The 9,366-nt window shown below is 33.1% G+C and overlaps 1 annotated feature.

Moving 5' to 3' along the window:
- Positions 8,573–9,142: an enhancer, noted in NCBI's record as "OCT4-NANOG hESC enhancer chr2:194247569-194248138 (GRCh37/hg19 assembly coordinates)". NCBI's record gives its function as "activates a minimal SCP1, AML or CMV promoter by ChIP-STARR-seq in naive H9 embryonic stem cells {active_cell/tissue: H9 hESC(naive)}" and the evidence as "EXISTENCE:reporter gene assay evidence [ECO:0000049][PMID:30033119]".

A 9,366-nucleotide genomic window follows, 5' to 3' on the forward strand; every position in this document is an offset into this window, starting at 1 on the left:
TATAATATGTTGACCCTTCTAATATATGAGCATGATATGTCTCTCCATTTACTTATGAATTCATTTATTTCTTTCATCAACATTTGTAGTTTTCAGAATACAAGTCCTGAACATAGTTTCGGATTTGAATCCGAATATTTTATTTATTTTGAACAAATATAAGTGGTATCATATTTTTAATTTTGCTTTATCGCTGGTACAGAAATACTATTTTTTGTATTTTTTGTATACCATGTGGCATTCCTGAACTTACTTATTAGGTGTAAGAGTTTTAGGATATGTTTTATAGATGCCTTGGGATTTTCTAGGTAAACAATCATATTTGTAAAGGATAGTTGCATTTCTTACTTTACAATCTGTATGCTATTTATTCCCTTTGTTAACTACTGCATGGGCTAGAGCTTCCAGCATTATGTTGATTAAGAGTGGTGAGAACAGATGTACTTGACTTTTTTCTGAACGTAGGAAAAAATAATTTATGTTTCACCATTAATATTATGTTAGCTGTAAGATTCTGTAAATTTTTTTTCTTTTAATCTAGTTGAGGAATTCCCTCTCTATTCCTATTTTCCTGAGATACTTTATCATGAATAAATATTGGATTTTGTTAACATGCGTTTTCAGCATTGATTGCTATGATCATGTGTGGTGTTTCTTGTTTTTCTTTTTTTATGTTAATTTAGTAGGTTACATTGATTGATTTTCAACTATTGAACAATTTTACATTCCTGGAATAAAACTCACTTGTTCATAGTTTGTAAATCTTCATAAATGTAGCTGAATTTTATTTGCTAATATTTTGTTAATAATTTTTTGCCTCTATATTCAAGAGGAATGTTGATCTGCAGTTTCCTTTTATCATATTTTCATGGTCTAGTTTACATATCAGAGTAGTACTCATTTTATGAAATGAAGTGGAAAATATTACTTATACTTTGGAAGATAATTTGAAGACTTGATATTAATTATCCTTTAAACATTTGGCAGAATTCTCCAGTGAAACCACTTAGAGACGCCACATTTCTATTTTTGGAATATTTAAATACAAATTCAATTTTCTTAATAGTTAAAGGGCTTTTAAAACTATTTTACCTTGGGTGAGTTGTCCATTTCATCTAAGTGGTTAAATTCATGTTGTTTGTAAGATTTCTTTTCTTTTTTTTTTTCTTTCAGACAGAGTCTTGCTCTGTCGCCAGGCTGGAGTGTAGTGGCGCGATCTCGGCTCACTGCAACCTCCGCCTCCTGGGTTCAAGCGATTCTCCTGCCTCAGCCTCCCTAGTAGCTGGGACTACAGGCGCGTGTCACCATGCTTGGCTAATTTTTGTATTTTTCAGTAGAGACAAAGTTTCATCATGTTGTCCAGGATGGTCTGGATCTCAACCTCGTAATCGGCCCACCTCCGCCTCCCAAAGTGCTGGGATTACAGGCGTGAGCCACTTCGCCCGACCTGTAAGAGTTATTTAATATCCTTTTGATATCTGTAAGATCTATATTACTAGTTGTTTGTGTCTTCTCCTCTTTTTACACTGTCACTCTTGCAAAGTTTGGTCAATTTTATTGACGTTTTCAAAAAAAATTTCTTGTTTCTTTAGTTTTTTCTACTGTTTTTCTATTCTTTCATTGACGCATACTCTTATTTTTATTATTTCCTTTCTTCTGCTTGCTTTTTGGGCCTCTTTCTCCACATTATTGAGGTGAGGACTTAGTCAAAAATAGTAAAAAATGACTATTTGAGTCATTTTCTCATTTTCATAGCACCAAATGTAAGCATTTAGTGCTATAAATTTATCTTTCAGCACTGTTAACTGTGTCCCACACATTTAGATATAGATTATATTCATTTTCATTCAGTGCAAGGCACTTTTAAATTTTCCTTGATAGCTCCTCAGTGACCAGTGGATTTATTTAGATGTGTTGTATACAAGTCTTAAGAGATTATCCTATTCTATTATTGATTTCTAGTTCGAGCCACACATTGTATGACTTCAATTGTTTTAAAATTGTTAAGACTTGTATGGCCCAGGATGTGGCCTATCTTGGTATATGCTCTGTGCACTTGAAAAAGAATGCTAATCCTGCTGTTTTGAGGTGAATTTTTCTGTAAATATCAATTAAATAATGTTGTTGTGATCCTCCATATACTTGCTGAATCTATATCTAGCTTTTTTATCAATTGTTGAGTGAAGAGCATTGATGTCTCCTAGTAAATTGTGAATTTGTCTATTTCTTCTTTTAAATCTGTAAGTTTTTCTCCACATATTTTGTAGTTCCACTATTTGGTGTCATGTTTCTTGGAAGATTGACTCTTTCAACATTATATAATATACCCTACTCTGATAATATTCTTTTCTCTGAAGTCCACTTTATCTGATATTAATGAATACAGGGCACCTGCTTTTTCTGATTTTTTGCATGGTATAGTTCTTTCCACACTTTTCCTTTCAAATTGTCTCTATTGTTATGTTTGAAATAATGTTCTCGTCGAAAGGATATAGTTGGGTAATATTTTTAATCCACTTTGCCAATTTTTGTCTTTTAATTGGTATTCAGACCATTTATATTTCACTTAATTATTTTTATATTATGGTTAAGTCTGCCATTTGTACCTTCTGTTTTTTTCTTTCTGTTTTTCATTTACTTTTTCACCATCTTTCTAAGTGTTACTTACATTTTTTCTTTCTACATTTGCTTTTTGATTAATCTATAGTGCTTTTGGGTGTATCCTTTTGTATAGTATTTTTAATGGCATCTTAGGTGTTATATTATATATACATTAAGTATAACAATGCACTGTTGTCACTATTTTACCATTTTGAGTGAAGTATAGAAAGAAACCTTACCGCTCTTTATATACCTTTATTCTCCTCCATTTATTTTATGCTCATTTTAATTGCTTCCTCGATATACATTTAGAACTACCATGTTCAGACATTTTTATATTGCTAAATTTGGGGAGCTTTCAATGATTATTTATTTGATTATTGCTACATCCTTGCCTGCTTTTTTCTCTTCCAGAAATCCAGTGTCATAAATATGAGAACTTTTGTTATAGTCCCACAGGCCCATCAGGCTCTATTCATTTTTTTCAGACTATTTTCTCCTTGTTGTTTAGATTGAGTAATTTCTATTGTATCTTCCAGTTCAGTGATCCTGTTTTTTCTGTTCCCTCCATTCTGCTATTAAACCTATCCATTAAGTTTCTTTCCTAGTTATTGTATTTTTCAGTTCTAAAATTTTCAGTTGGTCCTTCTTTATATCTTCTATTTCTTTGGTGAGACTTTCTATGTTTTCATCATTTTTCAAGCATGTTTCTAACTGTTCATTGAAAATTTTCTATAATCAGTGCTTTCAAATTTTTGCCGGATACTTCCGATATATCTTTCATCTCAATGTTGGTGTCTGTTGATTACCTTTTATCATTCAGCTTGAAACCTTTCCAGTTCCTGGTATGATAAGTAGCTTAATTGAAACATGTATTACAGTATAAGACTGGATTTTATTTGAATTTTCTGTTTTCCTAGATATTTTAAACATGGCTTACCACCATGAAGGAATAAAAATTGAGATTTTCCACTTGGCCTTTGTTGACACCTAAGGTTTGCAGGTGGACTCTTTGTTACTGCTGTACTGAGGTGAGTATTTGAAAGTTTGAGCTCCACAATAGACTTCCAGTGATACCTCTTTGGTTGTGGGTGGTAAGAGTGACTCATTACTGCTCCCCACATGATTTCTACTGACACTGCCTGGAGGGGAGTAGTCTCATTACCCCTAGATGGTGGTGAATGTTATGGCTCACCAGTTAGCTTCTAAGAAAATGAAATTCATGTACTTTTTCCTGCTCCCCCAACTAAGTACAACTAAAAATCCTGGACATTAAATATAAGACATAAATAAGACTGTAAGACAATAAGTGGAATACTGCTTATGGACCTTGGGACATGAGAAATGACAAGGTAGTGAGTTCCCTGAATTTTCTTTTTGCCTCATATCTGCCAAATTTGGAACTAGAGAAGTTGACAACCTGGAGACCCCAATGGTGGCAGGCCAAAAAAGTCCCAACAAAGGCCTATGCTATAGCCAAAAGATCAGGAGAGGGCTAGCCTAGCAAGGCAGAGAGATTTTAGACAATGACTGCTCTACTCCAGAAAACCACCATGTATAAAAAATAATGGCCTTAACCCATCTGTGCCAGTAAATTTCAATAAGGGAGCCTAGGCCTTCACCTGCAGAAGATGTAAGGATGAAAGATTACCCATTCCTGTTCACATTTCTATCCCCCATAATCTTCAACTTTAGTCCCTTCCATGATGTCAGTGAGGACCACCTCCATCCATAAGTAAGGGGAGACCCTCCCTCTCCACATTGGAAAATAATCTTATTTTATTTTTTAAAAGTATATAGAGCATTTAAGTTAAAAGCATATATTCTTAGGACATTTAAATCATGAATTGAATACCAAATTTCCTGAGATATAAGTGGAAAAATGATAAATAGCCATCTCAGAAAATATAGCAGCTCTTCAGGAAAAAAAAAATTCAGTTCATGTTTCTCTGCATAAGAGACTATTTCATTATTTGTGTTGTTAAATATTACTCTCATAGTACCATCACTATGTATAACAAAAGGAATGTGCATTATTTAAATAAATATAGGAAAATCAAATGTATTTAGCAACAGTAATATATTGATCAAAAATACCAAACCTTTCTCTGCTATTTTTCTGACTTACTTATATTTCTAAGAATCAAGAGATAAAAGTTGGAAAAGCCAGATTTTTGAAATAATTTGCATATTTCTCTACGATCTTGTATTCATCATATGCAGAGGTATTAGCTATCCATCATTCTCCAAAGATCTGCACACATTTAAGTCGATGCACTTTTAATTTTACTACTGTGAATTCAAACTATCCTTTTGAATGCTACTCATGTCTATAGGTTGCATTCTTTGCAAAAAAAGGAGGTATTTAAAAATTAAATGATATATTCATCATAACATATAATAAATATATTTTTTAATATAATATTATATAAAATAATTTCTACTAAATATAATAAATTTATATTTGTTATATTTCTACTAAATATAATAAAGTCTCTTTGGAATGTCTGTAAAAATAGACTGAAATTACTTGAACTGTAGACATAACTATAGACATATTCATGTGTTCCTCTATACAGGAAACTATTAATAACTCCATGCAAGACATGTTAATATTTTAATTGTAGTATGAAAATAACACTTTTTAAAATGTCAGAATATTGTTATATAAAATATTTAATTTTCTCATTTTTTAATATTATTGAAAGTTGCTGAAATAAGATGTTAAATTAAAATTTTATAGAATTAAGATTTCCACTTTTTAAATATTTAGATTATTTTTCATTCTATACGGTTTGTCAGTTTTGAAAAATCATGGCCTTTCTTTCAATCATTTCCTAGCACCTAATAAGCAAGTGGAACAAAAATTTATTAAATATACTATTTTTTAAGATAACTCAATTTCCTATTTTGGAACTTTAAGTAATTGAGTCATGAAAAACATATTTATAATATCAGAAATTTAAGATGTTCTATTCAAGAATTAAGCCTAGAGTGATTTCTTTTAAAGGTATGGAACTAGTGTTAACATCTCAAACAAAGGCTTTTATTTTCTAGACACTTTCTAGATATACAAATGTTAATGGTGGAGATTTTCAGCATGTATGATAGGTAGGTTTTTAATTTAAATGTTATGAAAGAAGTATGGAGAAGAACCAATTCATATGCAAATAAACCTTTTTTTCTAACAGCAAAAATATAATTTTGATATGAATCCATCATAGTGGAATCAAAAAAGTTTTTATCAGTGAGCAAAAATGAGCAATGAATCCCCAGTATATAAGGATCATATTGAAAAAATGTGTATGTATAATTTTGGATGCCACTGACCTCTAGGGCAACAATAAGACAGAGACCCATCATTGACTTATAGACGTATTTTAAGGTACATATGCATTGAGCTAATACATTGCTGTTGTCACAAATACATTGCTGTTGTCACAAGTACAAGAAAAGACAATAGCAATAATAATTTTAAAGATCATTCTTCATAGAAAGGTAAGAAACTGTTAAACCCACTAGTCATTAAGGTTACACAGAAGACTAAAGAAGTAAATTAGTTTGAGAAGGACAACATATTTTCATCACTAATAATACTCATACTGACCTACTGAAGTAAGCTAATATGAGTTTACCAAAACAAAAGTAGTTCTCTCTCTCTCTCTCTCTCTCTTCAGGCTTTTAATTAAGTTCTCTCCAAGAAATGTCATTTGAAATTTGTTTTAAAAAATTAGAATAAATTTGACTGATTTCTAATCACAAAATACATATCTTTAAAAGGTTGACTACCATAGATATCTTTAAAAGGTTGACTACCATAGATATCTTTAAAAGGTTGACTACCATAGATATGAGTGCTTGACAACAAATGTTGTGTATGTGTGTTTGTGGGTACTCACATATATCTGAAGTGATTCTTTTTTAATTTTTGAGGCAGAGTCTCACACAGTCACCCAGGCTAGAATACAGTGGCATTATCATAGTTTACTGCAACCTCGATCTCCCGAGGTCAGGTGATTCTCCCACCTCAGCCTCCGAGGTAGCTGGTTCCACAGGCACATGCCACCATGCCTGGTTAATTTTTGTATGTTTTGTAGAGACAGGGTTTCGCCATGTTGCCCAGGCTGGTCTCAAATTCCTGGGCTCAGGTAATCTGCCTGTCTTGGCCTCCCAAAGTGCTGGGAATATAGGTGTAAGGCACCATGTTTGGCCTACTTGAAGTGATTTTTAAATTAGATGTTTCAAAAATAAATGAAAAGTTGAATTCTTTAAGCCACAATATGCAACTTAATACACTATTTTCATTTTTAGTTTACTTATTTAATAATTTACTTGTTGAATTTAATAAATAAATACTGATATAGTTCTAAAATATGGCCAGTACCATTCACATGCTTTACGAAAGTTAGCTCACTTCATCATCACAACAACTCTGTGAGGAATCATAATTATTTCCACTGGGAAAAGGGGGAAATTGAGGAATTAAGTAACTTGTTTAAGATTACACAGCTAATATGAGATCCAGGATTTAGCCTAAGACTTCTGTATCTGGCGGCCATGTTTCATCACAACAATCTGATGCTGCCTTAATATGATAAATATCATGACTTTTTATGTTCAATCTGATAATATGCTTATGTATGTAGATTTTTATTTAACATAATTAGATACAAATACAACAAGCCTATTACTTATGATGGCTAAGATAGCTGTACTAAAAGAAATTTTATTGATTGAATAATTAGAGCAAAAGATCTCTTAGTGTAGTAGAAATACATTTTGCATATGAGAGGATTAAGAGATCAGGACATAGATGGGAAGAGAGAAGTTACAGGAGAATATTAAATGCAGTAAAACTGAGTTTGCACTATCAAACATCACCACTAGCTATGGAAATTTCCCAGCCTGTGTAATAAGGACTGTCTCTTTATTTGATTATCAAATACTAATCTAAGCTCCTTATGTCTTTTCACATTCCTATTTATTCACTCCAAGTCATATCCAAGTCATTCATTCATCATATATTCCTCCATGGGCATTTCATGTATCCTGCTTCCTTGGTGAGAAATCATGCCTCTAACTTAACTCAGATGGAAGGGAAGGATAACTATCTGAAATGATGGGAGGCTCTCCACACTTTTAGATTGTCCATCTATGAATATTTACACACTTTGCTGCAGAAATGGTAATATATTTTGTTAGAAAACCCATTACAGTAGCCTGAAACACATCTAATCTGGTTTCAGATAAGTCATTGATGACCTATACATGTTTAAGTGAATAATGTATAATTATTTTTAGTTCTATTACCTACTAACTGACATGGTTGCTTGTACCTTTATTCACCACCGACCCAACAACGCAGTCTCTTTCCCAAAACAGCAACAAAGTTATCTTTTTAAAAATATTATAAAAGTCAGATCATTTTATTTTTTGGTAGGCACCCCCATGTAACAAGAAGGTCCCTCCCACTAGTTTGTGATGTCTGATTGACAACTGTCTGACATAAGACCCATTTGACCCTTGGTTGGCCTGCTGAGATATTCCTGCTTGCCTCTCTCCACTTCTCTCCCTCCTTAATCAAACCCCAGATACCTATATGTGTTAGGTAGCTAAACGGTCCTTACGGCATGCTGTGATAAATTTAGAAAAATTAGTTCTGTTTTGGGCAGCACCTGAAAATGCTGGTTAGGGTTAAGCACCGGGGTAAGAGGGAGAACACAGACCATTTGTGTTTGCTAGCTTTACCCAGAGGAAAAGCAAAGTTTCTCTGGTATCTTTGTGAGGAGTTGTTTTACTACCTGGGGCAAGGAACTCACAGAAGTTAGGCTCCTAACCTTCCAGGGAAACTGGGAGATAGCAGTACTATCTTCCTTGATGTGTAGATTTCAAAGTGATGGCCCCAAGCCCTGGAGGAAGACATTCCCAGGTCATAAAATTTTCAAGAGGCTTTTAGATAGATTTACATCTCAAAGGAACAGCGATTACAAGTTTCCTAAGGTAAGTGCTTTAAGGAAGAGAAGATCAGAGGCCTGAAGTCAAGAAGAAACCCGCCTGAAGTCTAGTCAAGCTGAGAGGAGCTTAAAGGCTGTCTTGGTCAGTATCAATAAGTTTTGATCTCTTAAGTTCGGTGTTGATCTTAGCCATGGAATTTTTTATAATCGTTGTGCCAAGAAAGGCAAGTACTTTCAACTATAAGGATTGTTATGCCATACGTGCTTTTAGTAATATCACAAAACAAATACTCATGGCTAGTATTTACCTTGGTCTGATTGTTTTGAACTATAATAATGCACCTGTTCACATTCTAGTCTACTCACGAACTCTAAAATTGTAAGACTTTAGAAACTTGGTATGTATATAATATTAGCATCTAGAATATTGTTTTGATGTTCTTATTTTTGGAAATTAGGAAAAAAAAGTTGAGAAATTTGTGACCTGAACTCTGTATGATGCACTAGCATTGGCACTTGAGTACTCATTACAAAAACTAGATGTTTATAAGCCATGGAAATGAAAAATATATATGTGTTTGCTTAATTTGAGAAAGAAAAATTATTATAAAATTCCAAAAGAATATTGAGAGGTGAAGCCAGCTGGACTTCCTGGGTGGAGTGGAGACTTGGAGAACTTTTCTGTCTTACAAGGGGATTGTAAAATGCACCAATCAGCGCTCTGCAAAATGGACCAATCTGTGCTCTGTAAAATGGACTAATCAGCACTCTGTAAAATGGACCAATTGGCAGGATCCTAAAAGTAGCCAAT

Source organism: Homo sapiens, chromosome 2, assembly GCF_000001405.40.
Source record: "Homo sapiens chromosome 2, GRCh38.p14 Primary Assembly".
Taxonomy (NCBI): Eukaryota; Metazoa; Chordata; class Mammalia; order Primates; family Hominidae; genus Homo; species Homo sapiens.